The sequence below is a fragment of the Homo sapiens genome, chromosome 11 (genome assembly GCF_000001405.40).
Source record: "Homo sapiens chromosome 11, GRCh38.p14 Primary Assembly".
Lineage (NCBI taxonomy): Eukaryota > Metazoa > Chordata > Mammalia > Primates > Hominidae > Homo > Homo sapiens.
In genome coordinates, this window is record NC_000011.10 from 125,493,605 (window position 1) to 125,506,801 (window position 13,197).

The 13,197-nt window shown below is 45.4% G+C and overlaps 1 protein-coding gene and 1 long non-coding RNA gene across 6 annotated transcripts in view, besides 5 other annotated features; one reads left to right on the plus strand and one right to left on the minus strand.

Moving 5' to 3' along the window:
* The window catches only part of FEZ1 (fasciculation and elongation protein zeta 1), a 53,385-nt gene extending 50,724 nt beyond the window's left edge, over positions 1 to 2,661 (minus strand). For 2 of the 4 annotated variants that reach the window (NM_005103.5, NM_022549.4), the window contains exon 1: positions 2,517 to 2,661. The gene's annotated coding sequence lies outside the window, so the exon portion shown is untranslated. Of the gene's footprint in view, positions 1 to 1,783; positions 1,947 to 2,231 lie in introns of those variants that run through there. The other 2 variants (XM_005271735.3, XM_005271734.3) reach the window with 2 other exon arrangements.
* Positions 713 to 1,216: an enhancer, noted in NCBI's record as "NANOG-H3K4me1 hESC enhancer chr11:125364213-125364716 (GRCh37/hg19 assembly coordinates)". NCBI's record gives its function as "activates a minimal SCP1, AML or CMV promoter by ChIP-STARR-seq in primed H9 embryonic stem cells {active_cell/tissue: H9 hESC(primed)}" and the evidence as "EXISTENCE:reporter gene assay evidence [ECO:0000049][PMID:30033119]".
* Positions 1,610 to 5,922, plus strand: LOC403312 (putative uncharacterized protein MGC39545). Of its 2 annotated transcripts, none has more exons than NR_164146.1 (2): positions 1,610 to 2,011; positions 2,904 to 5,922. It is a non-coding gene; the product is annotated as a putative uncharacterized protein MGC39545 (long non-coding RNA). The 2 variants fall into 2 exon arrangements; NR_164147.1 differs by lacking the exon at positions 1,610 to 2,011 and adding an exon at positions 2,257 to 2,389.
* Positions 1,719 to 2,222: an enhancer, noted in NCBI's record as "H3K4me1 hESC enhancer chr11:125365219-125365722 (GRCh37/hg19 assembly coordinates)". NCBI's record gives its function as "activates a minimal SCP1, AML or CMV promoter by ChIP-STARR-seq in primed H9 embryonic stem cells {active_cell/tissue: H9 hESC(primed)}" and the evidence as "EXISTENCE:reporter gene assay evidence [ECO:0000049][PMID:30033119]".
* Positions 2,223 to 2,724: an enhancer, noted in NCBI's record as "H3K4me1 hESC enhancer chr11:125365723-125366224 (GRCh37/hg19 assembly coordinates)". NCBI's record gives its function as "activates a minimal SCP1, AML or CMV promoter by ChIP-STARR-seq in naive H9 embryonic stem cells {active_cell/tissue: H9 hESC(naive)}" and the evidence as "EXISTENCE:reporter gene assay evidence [ECO:0000049][PMID:30033119]".
* Positions 2,223 to 2,848: a biological region, named in NCBI's record as "H3K4me1 hESC enhancer GRCh37_chr11:125365723-125366224".
* Positions 2,599 to 2,848: a silencer, noted in NCBI's record as "silent region_4040". NCBI's record gives its function as "represses an Ori minimal core promoter by ATAC-STARR-seq in GM12878 lymphoblastoid cells {active_cell/tissue: GM12878}" and the evidence as "EXISTENCE:reporter gene assay evidence [ECO:0000049][PMID:35858748]".
* Positions 5,923 to 13,197: the final 7,275 nt, after the last annotated feature.

Genomic DNA, 13,197 nt, shown 5'->3' on the forward strand with positions numbered 1-13,197 from the left:
TCTCTGTGCAATGCTTCAATATGCTTATCAAACAAGAGAACTATTGCTGAAAGAATTTTAGCATCTTTTTTACTAAGGCTTCTTTTTTCAATTTATTTGTTCAAAGGTTCCTGGATCGTGGGTTCCATTTTACAGAGATATGAAAGCCAATCCGATAGTGTTGCAGGTATTTACACTGCCTTTAAATTTGTACTTTTCTCTGGGAATGACAGGGGAGAAGCAGATGGTGACACCAGTGGGGTTTCTGATTTGAAATGACACAGTCTATATGATTAACCAGCAACAAGAGGCCAATCCAACCAGAATCTAGGACTAAGACTGAGTTTTGAGTGTTGGCAACAGGAAGAGTGTGCTGAAAGCACTCTGCCCAGGCAGAGTGTAGAGAAAATGGATTCATCTAGAAAATTATAAAAGACGAAATGAATATCACAGCTCTAGGGTTCAGACACATGCTCATTTGAAACAGTCCATAATATAGACTGATTGTTTTTTGTCAACTCATTATCCAAGAGCCAAGAAGTGCTGCATGAATGACCATCTGGAGATGAAGTTAAAGTGAAAGCCAGTGCTGGGAAACTAGTCACTCAACACCCAAACTGAATCCAGCATTTGTGGAAAGACCTCAGGCTGTGGCACAGATGAGAGTCAGGCGTTCTGACTGGCCCCACTATAGCCTCCAGGAGGGCTCTGTGGATTGGGGTTGGCAGCACTTCCTTAGATGGTGACCCTGCCTTCCTTCCTTTAGCCCACTTTCTTTCGCCCTCCTCTCTTCACGGAGTGCTTTCATCCTTCAACTAAAATGTCTGAAACAACCTTATTTTCCATCCTGGCAAGCTTGCACCATCCTCATTCATAGCTCATCTGGGAGCCTTCTTTTCCTTAAAGTAGGATTAATACAAGCGATAGCTTATTCCCTTTAGACTTCCAAGATCAAAAATAAATACGTACATACATGAAAATGGCAGAAAGAAGGAACCATGGGAGGGTCGCCTTTTCTTTTTCTCTTTACCACAGAACAGAGCGCAGGACTATAGTCTGATTGTCCTACAATCTATTCCATTTATTTTCACTCCCAATAGATGGTGTAATTTGGAAAAGAAAAGACACTCACGGGGCTTAACAGAGACCCAGTAGGAAACGCATAAACGTCTCCCTGCAGCACAATGATGCACTCGCTGCATCTCGGGGCTGCGGTACAAATGCTCAGTCCCTGCTTTGCTGAGCTGACCCGAGTGGAGCGGAGCGGTGGAGATTTCACCACGCTAACCCCGCTGGGCCTCGGCACCTCCACACAAGCCCCATTCCATCTCCTTCTTCCCATCACTTGGTCCATAGATCAACTGATTCCGTGCCTCGTCCCCCATATCCGTCCCTAAAACCTACCCTGCACTGATCCACCTTCAGATTTCCCACTGCTCCTCCGCAGAACCCACCCAGTGTGCATGTTTGTGCACATTTTGACAGAAAAAGTATTTCGTTGCATATGGATCAGCAACCCCTTCGCGGTTCTGCTTGCTCCCCTCCCCCTCCTCCCGCTGCTCCATTCACCTCCATCTCAGATCCCCCTCCTCCCCCCAGTCCGGTGGGGTAAAGAAAGCCTCCTCCAGGCAGCACAATGGCTGGCACTCTGAGGAAGCCGGACTCATCCCGTGCAGGCCGCATACACACTCCACTGCCCTTCCGGCCAAACAAGCCCGGACACGGGAGAGGGATGAGAGTCGGGGATGCCTAGCGGCGAGGAGAGAAGGGATAGGCAAAAGGGAAGAAGAGCGGGCTGTGATACCTCCTCGACGCCGTCAAACACTGCTCCCCGCATTCCAGAGCCCGGGGCCCACCCGACGGCAGCGCGCCCCGCCACCGCGCAGCCGCCCCGGTCCCTTCTCCCGCCCGTCTGTAGTAAAACAATCGCTCTCCCGGCGTCTGCGGCCGCTGCCAGCGGTTCTGACACTGCAGGAATGCGCGGTCTGGGGAAGGCTCCGCACTCTGGGGAGGGGCACGAGCGGGGTCGGGGGTAAGTTTTTAGGGACAAAGATGATCTTGGGGCGTTTACGGTGACTGGACCAGATAACGGTCCCGGGACGAGGTACCGACCCACTGCCCCAGCGCGATCGGGCGGCGTTCCCTTCTTCCCCCAGCCCCCATACCTCGCCGCCCTGCCTTCACACGCGCGCACACACGCGGGCACACACACGCGGACACACACACACACACACACACACACACACACACACCAGGCCTGGCTGGAGGGCCGATGCTGAGATGATACTGGAAGTGCCCATCATCCCACATCTCCAGGGCCTGGCGCGGCGTCCCAGCTGCGCTCCCTGAAGGGCTGGGCAGGAAGGCGACGGCCTCCCGTTGTTCCTTTCTAATCCCAGAATGGGACCAGGTGAGGGGAGCTGCGGCGACCCCAGACCGTCCTGTCAGAGAATCCCGGGGCCTCCTTACCACCCCCACCAGACCCCACCCCCAGCAGTGAGTCGGGTCCTAACTAAAGTCAACCCCCGCGACGGCACCTGTGCGGGTCCTGGCGGAGGGAGGCGGATCCCGGGGCTCAGCCGGACACCCCCATCCACGGGCCGCGGGAGCGGCCGGAGCGCAGCGCAGCGCAGCGGAGAGCCAGCCAGCCAGCCAGCCAGCGAGCGCTCCCCGCGCAGCTCCGGCGGCGCCCGGCTCCGCTCCCGCCTCCACCCCACCCCTTCCCCGCGCTCGTGCCCGGGCTCCGGGGGCGCGCCCGCGCTCGGGCACCCACCCAACTGGCACGCGCGGGAGCTGGACGTCATCCCCTCGTTAACATTCATAGCCTTCCTCCGAGCACGTGGGCTTGCCTTTATTAATATTTATGCATTTCTGTTTCTCTCCTCTTTAACATTGGCCTTTCTGCTTCCCTCATGAATATTCAGAAACTCCAAGATGAAAGCGTGCAATAACTACCAATATGGATACCTCGCAAAGCCTGACACTAGTTTCTGGATAAAATGCAGGCGATGGCTGCTGGCGGATGCCGGCAGACACACTCAAAGACCCTTTTGGACTTTCCGAGTTTCCCATTCTCCTCTACTGGAGGCTGAGGCGGGCAGGCCCAGCGACGTCTCCCAGCTCCAACTGGGTTCGGACCTCAAGCCAAAAATGAGGAGGCCGGCAGGAGAGCTTTTCTCGCCCAAAGATGCTGGGTGGGAGCTGGATCCAGCTGAAAAATCTGAGTGAGAAGGTTTCAGGCCCAGGAGGACTTGAGATAATACAGGAAAATTCAAGAGGCTGAAATGAGAAGGGTCCCTGGAGTCTTGTGAAAAATTATTAATTTATCTTGTCTACTGTGCATAGGCCTGTGCTTATAGAAGTTGTCAATAAAAAATCTAATAATTCACGAATACACACAACTAAGAGCACAAGAACTGTAATTATCGAAGGAAGGCACTGGAAAAAGCATGTCGGCTTGGAGAACCCCAAGTACTTTTGTCTGATGGCAAAGTACCTCTGGGCTGAACTGAGGACTTCAACTGGAAGGGGCAGGGAGCGTCTCTTTTGCTCGTTTATGCATTCATTCCACAGACATTTCAACCATGAGAAGGATGGAAACAGGAATAATGTCCCAATGAGATGAGAAGAAGCGTTGGCCTATTTGCCTTTGTGGGAGCAATAGACAGAGGATGTCTTCCTGTAAGAAATCATAAGGCCAGGCACGGTGGCTCACACCTATAATCCCAACATGTTGGAAAGCTGAGGCAGGAGGATCACTTGAGGCCAGGAGTTCAAGACCAGCCTAGGCAACATAGTGAGACCCCATCTCTATAAAAAAAAAAAAATTAGCCAGGCATGGTGGGCCCATCCTGGTAGCCCATCCTGGTAGCCCCAGCTACACTGGAGGATGAGGTGGGAGGATCGCTTGAGCCCAAGAGGTTGAAGCTGCACTCCAGCCTGGGCGACAGCAAGACCTTGTCTCAAAAGTAAATAAATAAATAAATAAATCACAAAGAGTAGCTGGTTAAAAGATCCCTAGATCTCCTTTCTTGGGATCATGCCCAGTTTTGTGACCTTGGGTTAGTTAACTTCCCTGTGGCTCATTTCCTCATCTGTAAAATGAAGAAAATAATAGTGCCCGCCGGGCGCGGTGGCTCACGCCTGTAATCCCAGCACTTTGGGAGGCCGAGGCGGGCGGATCACGAGGTCAGGAGATCGAGACCATCCTGGCTAACACGGTGAAACCCCATCTCCACCAAAAATACAAAAAATCAGCTGTGCGTGGTGGCGGGCGCCTGTAGTCCCAATTACTCGGGAGGCTGAGAATGGCGTGCACCCAGGAGGCGGAGCTTGGAGTGAGCCGAGATTGCGCCACTGCACTCCAGCCTGGGTGACAGAGCGAGACTCCGACTCAAAAAAAAAAAAAAGAAAGAAAATAATAGTGCCCCACTCTATTGTGGCCTGTTGTGGGATTAAAGGAGTGAATATGAGTAAAGTACTTCCAGGTTTATTAGAAGGCACTATATGTATGTATGTGTGTATATATATACACACACACATATATATGTCATATATATGTCTCATATAGATGTCCCATATATACGTCTCATATAGATGTCCCATATATATGTCTCATATAGATGTCCCATATATGTCTCATATAGATGTCCCACATATATGTCTCATATAGATGTCCCACATATATGTCTCATATAGATGTCCCACATGTATGTCTCATATAGATGTCCCACATGTATGTCTCATATAGATGTCCCACATGTATGTCTCATATAGATGTCCCACATGTATGTCTCATATAGATGTCCCACATGTATGTCTCATATAGATGTCCCACATGTATGTCTCATATAGATGTCCCACATGTATGTCTCATATAGATGTCCCATATATATGTCTCATATAGATGTCCTATATATGTGTGTGTGTATATATATATGTGTGTGTGTATATATATGTGTGTGTGTGTATATATATATGTGTATATATATGTATATATATATATGTCTTGGCTAATTTGAGGCCATCTTTTGTCTAGATCTTCAGAGCATGGGACAAACAGATTTGAGAGAAGCTTGTGAAGTACTGAAAGTGATAAAGAACTTGGTCTTCAGCTGGTGACCTTGTTAGTTATCCTCTCTGTACCTCAGTTTTCTCATCTGTAAAATGGAGATGCCAATATCTGCTGTTGGATGCCAATATCTACTACAAGGTTGTTGTTATGCATATTAAGTAATATAATGCATGCAAAATGCTTAGCACAGTGCCTGGCATATAATAAGAAACCAATTAGTGGATTCTGTGGTTATTTTTGTGAGGCTATGAAGAAACTGAAAGCTGAGGACAAGTAGCCTAGGCTAGGTACCTAGGATGAGAAATCCCTGAACATGAGCCCAGTTATTCTTCCAGCAAACACTTATTTTATTGTAGTAAGATATATATAACATAAAAATTACTATTTTAACCATTTTTAAGTGTACAATTCACTGGTATTAAACACATTCACATTGCTGTGTAACCACCACCACTATTCATCTACAGAAATTTTGTTATCCAAACAGAAACTCTGTATCCATTAAACACTAACTCCCCAGTACTCCCTTCCCCAGCCCCTGGTAACCACTATTCTAATTTTGTCTCTAAGAATTTGACTATTCTAAGTACCTCATGTAAGTGTAATTATACAATATTTGTTTTTTGTATCTGACTTATTTCACTTAGCACAATGTTTTCAAGGTTAATCTATGTTGCAACAATGTCAGAATTTCTTTTCTTTTTAAGGTAAATAATATTCCATGGTATGTATATACTACATTTTGTTTATCTATTCATCTGCCCATGGACATTTGGATTGTTTCCACCTTTTGGCTATTGTGAATAATGCTACTAATCTGTCATGGGATTAGAGTGAGAAAGAAAGAATAAAAAAATAATGCTGCTGTCAACATCGGTGTACAAATTCCAGCAAGCATTGGTTGCATTCCATGACCTAGGCTAGAAGCTGGGGAGCTAAAAATGAAGGCATGCTTTCAAGAGGTTCCATGTTTAGTATGTTGATTTCCAAACTCTGCTGCTTAGAACCTGCAGTGGATTGAATGGTATTTTCCTAAAATTTGTGTCTACTCAGAACCTCAGAATGTGACTTTTACAGATGTAATCAGTTATGATGAGGTCATACTAGATTCGGGTAGGCCCTAAATCCAATGACTGGTGTCCTTATAAGAAGAGGAGAGGAGGCTGGGCATGGTGGCTCACACCTGTAATCCTAGCACTTTGGGAGGTGAGTAGATCAACTGTGGTCAGGAGTTCGAGACCAGCCTGGACAACATGGCGAAACCCCATCTCTACTAAAAATTAAAAAAAAAAAAAAATTAGCAGGGTGTGGTGTCACATACCTATAATCCCAGCTACCTGGGAGGCTGAGGAAGGAGAATCGCTAGAACCGGGGAGGCGCAGGTTGCAGTGAGCTGAGATCATGCCACTGTACTCCAGCCCAGGTGACAAAGCAAGACTATGTCAAAAACAAAAACAAAAAATACAAGAGGAGAGCATGCATAGGAAAGGAGGCAGAGATTGGAGTAATTCAGGTACAAGCCAAATGACACCAAGGATTGCCAGGAACCACCCAAAGCTAGAATGAGGCAAGAAAAGATTCTTCCCCAGGACCTTCAGTAGGTAGCATGGCCCTGCTGACAGCTTGATTTTGGACTTCCAGCCTCTAGAACCATGAAACCATAAATTTCTATTTAAAGATCATTTGTCGTGGCAGGCCTAGGAAACTAGTACAAATTTTGGTAGTAGAAAGTGGGATGCTGCTGTAACAAATATTTAAAAATGTGGAAGTGCCTTTGGAACATCGTAATGCAAAGAGGCTGGAAGAAGTTTGAGACACATGACAGAAAAAGCCTATATTGCCCCAAAGAGACTGTTGGTATAATTATGAATATTAAGGGCAATTCTAGTGAGGCTTCAGAAATGAGGAGACTGTAGAGAAAGTTTCTACGGTCATAGAGAATACATATATTATTATAACAAATAGGAATATGAATGTTAAAGGTGATTCTGGTAAGGTCTAAGATGGAAATGAGGAACTGTTGTTAGAAACTGAACAAAAGACAAACTGTGTTATAGAGTGGCAGAGAACTTGGCTGAATTTTGTCCTGCTCTTGGAAGGCAAGTAGAACTTGTAAGCGATGAACTTGTATATTTAGCTGAGATTTCCAGGCAAAGTGTAGGAGATTTGGCCAGGTTTCTCCTTGCTGCTTATAGTAAAATGCAAGAAGGAATGATGGTGTGGATCCCTTTCACTCCTAAGTAGCAAGTTACACAGGAGACCAACATGGTTTCTGAGAATTTTATACCAACAGAAACACTGTCAGCCTGGAATGAAAAGGACGGAGATGAAATGAAGGACAAGTCTTAGACCTCTGAAATTCCACAGGCAGAAAATAGGCTGATGTACGTTCTTGGCAGCAAACATGGGTTATCCTTCAAGAAAAAGAAAGAATGACTCTTAGGATGGGGCCCACTGCCCTGGATCCAGAGGATGGAGCATCGAACCATAAGGGATTTTTCTCAGGCCTCGAAACCTAATGGAACTTCCCCTGCTGTTCTACAAGCTTGCTTTGGACTAATGACCCCCTGTTTTCCTTCCATTTTCTCTCTTTCAAAAATGTTTTTTTAATTTTTTTTGTAGAAATGGGGTCTCACTATGTTGCCCAGGCTGGTCTCAAACTCTTGGCCTCAAGGGATCCTCCCACCTCAGCCTCCCAAAGGACTAAGATTATAGGCAAGAGCCACTGTGCCCAGCCCTCATTTTCTCCCTTCTGCAAGGGGAATGTCCATCCAATGTCTGCTCTACCACTCTATTTTGGAAACAAATCATTTGATTTCTAATTTCATAGGTCCACAATGGGAGAGGAATTTTGCCCCAGAATGTATCACACCTAGAGTTTCACCCATACCTGATTTAAATGATGAGATTTGGAACTTTTAGATTTTATATTTGTAATAGATGAGATTTAGATTTAGAGCTAATGCTGGAATGGGTTAAACCTTAGGAAAGTTGGGATGTGACCAGGTACTGTGGCTCACGCCTGTAATCCCAGCACTGTGGAAGGCTGAGATGGGCAGATCACTTGAGGTCAGGAGTTCGAGACCAGCCTGGCCAACATGGTGAAACCCTGTCCCTACCAAAAATATAAAAAACTAACCTGGTGTGGTGGTGTGTGCCTGTAATCCCGACTATTCGGGAGGCTGAGGCAGGAGAATTGCTTGAACCTGGGAGGCAGAGGTTGCAGTGAGCTGAGATTGAGCCGCTGTACTCCAGCCTGGACAACAGAGCGAGAGTCCCGTCTAAAAAAAAAAAACAAAACAAAACAAACAAACAAAAAAAAAACCCAGAATGTTGGGATGGGATTAATGTATTTTGCATGAGGAGTAGACATGAACTTTGGGGGAGCCACAGGGTAGATTGTAGTGGGATGGATAATGTTCCCCAAAAACACATGTCCACCCCAAACTTCAGTATATGACTTTATTTGGAAATAGGGCCTTTGCAGATGTAATTAGTTAAAATGAGACCATACTACATTAGGGTGGTCTTGAAATCTAATTATTTGGTGTCATTGTTAAGGCAGTCCTAAAAAACTAGTACGGAACCCTAGAAAGAGTTAAGGATGTAACTCAATATTCAACATACTTTAATACCTCCTGTGTACAAAGCACTGTGCCAAAATTAAGGATGCAGCAATGAAGAAAATAACTCATGCACTGGCACATGACTTAGCATATAGTATGTGCTCAATAAGTGCTGACTGTGTGTTATTAGGGGTTTCAGGGATCCTCCTTAGAGCTGATAGAACTATTCCCACCTCCCTATCCCTTCAATCAGACTTAGTCCAATTTTATTTTTATACATTCTAAAAGTTTCTAGAGCTTTACAAAGTTTCAGCTGGGAGCAGTGGCTCATGCCTGTAATCCCTGAACCTTGGGAGGTTGAGGAGGGAGGATCACTTAAGCCCAGGAGTTTGAGACCAGCCTGAGCACCATGGTGAAATCTCCTCTCTACTAAAAATTAAAAAGTAAAAATTAGCCAGGCATGGTGGTACACTCCTGTAGTCCCAACTACTTTGGAGGCTAAGGTGGGAGGATCGCTTAAGCCCTCAGAGGCGGAGGTTGCAATGAGCTGAGATGGCTGCACTGCACTCCAGCCTGAGACACAGAGCCAGACCCTGTCTCAAAAATAAATATCTAGCTGGGTGCGGTGGCTCACCCCTGTAATCCCAGCACTTTGGGAGGTCGAGGCTGGTGGATCTTCTGAGCTCAGGAATTCGAGACTAGCCGGGGCAACATAGTAAAACCTCATCTCTATCAAAAATAAAAATAAAAAGTTAGCCGGGCACGGTGTTGCACACCTGTGGTACCAGCTACTCGGGAGGCCGAGACAGGAGGATCGTTTGAGCCTGAGAAGCGGACACTGAAGTGAGCTGAGATTGCACCTCTGCACTCCAACCTGGGTGACAGAGTGAAACTCCATCTCAAAAATAAATAAATAAATAAATAAATAATATACACTAAGGGAAAGTGTACACATAAAAAAAAGGAAAAAAAAATCCACATCCACAGAGAAGCTGATTATTTGATAGAATGACTTAGGCATTGAAATAAAAGATAGTGGACATTGAGTAAATGTTTGTCAAATGAATGAACCAAAACATCCAAAAGGAGATTTGGGCTCTGGGGTCTGAATAACTAAGTTTAAACCTTGATTCCGGCCGAGCGCAGTGGCTCACGACTGTAATCCCAGCACTTTGGGAGGCTGAGGCGGGCGGATCACGAGGTTAGGAGATCGAGACCATCCTGGCTAACACGGTGAAACCCCGTCTCTACTAAAAATACAAAAAATTAGCCAGGCGTGGTGGCGGGCACCTGTAGTCCCAGCTACTCGAGAGGCTGAGGCAGGAGAATGGCATGAACCCGGGAGGTGGAGCTTGCGGTGAGCAGAAATCGTGCCACTGCACTCCAGCCTGGGCGACAGAGCAAGACTGCGTCTCAAAAAAACAAAAACAAAAACAAATAAACCTTGATTCCAGAGTCATTAGCTATGTTTCTTAGTTAACTTCTCTAATATTTTCTTTTGCTGGGGTTTTTGTGAGTGTTGAACCCCTTAGATACAAGCTGAGTGCCTTGAATCTAGTTAGTGCCTAATAATGAAACAAGCTACTATTTGCTAAGTAAGGAAAACTGAGGACTGGTGCCATGTAATCCCGGCACTTTGGGAGGCTGAGGCAGGAGGATTGCTTGAAGCCAGGAGTTGGAAACCAGACAGGGCAACAAAATAAGACCCCGTCTCTACCAAAAAAAAAGAAAAGGAAAGAAAGAGAGAAAGAAGCCTGGACAAAAAAATGAGATCTTGTCTAAAACACACACACACACACACACACAAAAGAAAAACTAAGGCTGAGTCATAGCTACAAACTGCTGCTTTTTGGGGATACAGAGTAAATCATTCTGGGAATCCCATCAACACCATTCTAGGGGCTGATTTCAAGGCATTTTGATTTACTTGATAATAGAATCAAAGAACCTTAGAACATATGGAGTATTTAAAGCTCATCTAGCCTGATCACCAACCTGATGCAGAAACCAATATCCCTCCCAGACTGGGAGAATAGAAACACACCTACAGTAATGAGAAAATTTACCTCATAGGGTCACCTAGTCCCTTTTTAAAAAATGGCTTTCAAGTCTGGAAATGGCTTTTTAAGATTAGAAATTCAGTGATAGTGTGATATGTATTGTGGTTATTCTATTTGATCTTCCTTAGAAAGATCCTTCTTGATGAAGCCAGTTTTCCATGAGACTCTGGAAATGAGCTGCTGAGGCTTTATTGAAAACCTGTGTCAATCACAGTGCAGCAAATAAAGATGAGCTCATACCTACCAACATTTTAAGACTACTCTGTTTTTCTGTCACTGGTAGTTCTCAAACTCCAACACTTAATTCAAGCCTGTATTCATTTCCATCCTTAATATCCAGGGTTGATTAAACTCCCTGATTTGTTTCCACAAGGGAAATGGAATATTCCCCCAAGATTCAAAATCTATTCATAGCCACCCAGTCAGCAGGTAATTACTCCCTACCACATGTACTAAGAACAAGATCATATTACTTTCAAAGAGAATGGGCAGTAGTATAAAAATGGACAATAAATCAACTCCAAGAATAATTATACATTTCAGAATGCTCACCTCTGTTACCTGATAAAAACACAAAATACACAAACTAGTTGACAAATAGAGTAAATGAATGAGATCACTTAAGATACTGGGAATTTCAGGCTGAGGTAGGAAGATTGCTTCAGCCCAGTAGTTTGAGGCTGCAGTGTGCTATGATCTTACCTGTGAATGCCTGCTCCACTCCAGCTTGGGCAACATAGTGAGACCTTGTCTTTAAATACGAAAGGAAGGCTTGGCGCGGGGGTCCCCGGGGAGGGGAGGCTGGGAGTAGAGGGGAATGGAGGAGAGGAGAAAGGAGTGGAGGGACAAACTGGAAATTCCCATAAGTGCACCTTGTCAAAAAGAAAAAGAGGTAGAAAGGGCCAGGGGTGGTGGCTCATGCTTGTAGTCCCAGCACTTTGGGAGGCCGAAGCAGGAGGATTGCTTCAGCCCAGGAGTTTGATACCAGCCTGGGCAACACAGTGAGACTGCATCTCTATGAAAAGTTTTTTAAAAATAAATAAAATAAATATATATACCAAAAGAAGAGAAAGAGGAAGGAAGAAAAGAAGGAACTGGAAATTCCCATAAGTGCAAATATGTTGACAATTGTTTTTTCTACACAAGAAGAGAATTGGATATTTCAAAAAAGGAGACCCTCTGGAATCTGGTTGTTCAATAGAAAAAAGAAAAAAGAAAAGAGAACCACAAATTTTAATAGGAATAGAAAATGAGGTCCCCACTGTGGGAAGCTTTTAGACCTACAGTGGCCCAGGAAAAACAAGCAAACAAACATATCATTAATCTTCAATTCTCTGTGGCTACCAAGTGATTCATCAGCACAGATCAGCATATGCCCTGGGTGAATGAGGGAAGGCATAGGCTATTATTGTCTCTTACTCTATAGGAAATAGAGCCCAGTCGACAGTGCCATGGTGGGGGGCAGAGGGCAGCACTCTTGAGATGGCTCAGCTCTGTGAGCTCACTTTTAAGTTAGATTTTTATTCTTCTTAAGACCCCCCAGTTCAAGCAGGGACTTTATCTCTGCAAACCCCTGAGGACTGATTCCCACTCCCCTCTATCTCAGACTAATCTTCTCTATTTTCTGCTATCCCCAGGATGCCCTGGTAATCAGAGTTGTGATTCAGAAGTGACCTTGAGGAAACAGAAATGCCAAAGAACATTAGCATTTCACTGCACCAGTCCAGCCACATAAAAATCACTTCACTACCAGCAAACCCCCAGGGCCCAGCAAGCCATGCAAATACTGCCCAGGGCCACCTCTGTCCTCTTTAAGGCCTCAACTTTGAGCCATGACTGCATTTTCAACCCTGTGAACATGATGAGCAAAGGACCCACATTATCCCCAAAGTCTCACTTCGCCAAGATTTAAATAAGCCAATCTCTTCTAGTTGTCACATTCTACGAGGTGAGAGCCTAATAACACAGAACACCAAGTCCCAAAGAAGAGGTGTGCTGAGCCAGGTTGCTCTGACAAAGATTCTTTGCTTGACAAATCTTTAGTCAGGCTCCTGAACCTTCCCCTAGATCAATCTGTGCACTTCCTTATAAAATCCAGTTTCAGCAAGAACCGTGTGAAGTTTAGCAAGAACCCTCTACCCCCAATATCTGATCAGGGTCCTCATCCTCTACCATCCCCCAGGTGATGTCTGACCACCCTGGCCTATCTTCAGCAAAAATCCTGTTAGGTTGCTTTAGCCAGAATCCCCCTTATCCCTGATGTTTCCACCTAGTAATTTTTCATCCACTGATCCTTGTCCTGTTTTTGGCTATAAATTCCCACTTGTCCATCTATTTCAGAGTTGAGCCCAATCTTTGTTCCCCACTGCAGAATCCTATTGCAGTGGTCCCTATGCTTATTGCAGTGGTCCTCAATAAAGTTTACTTTACTGTGCTTTAACAAGTATCATTGAGGCCGGGCGTGGTGGCTCACGCCTGTAATCCCAGCACTTTGGGAGGCTGAGGCGGGCAGATCACG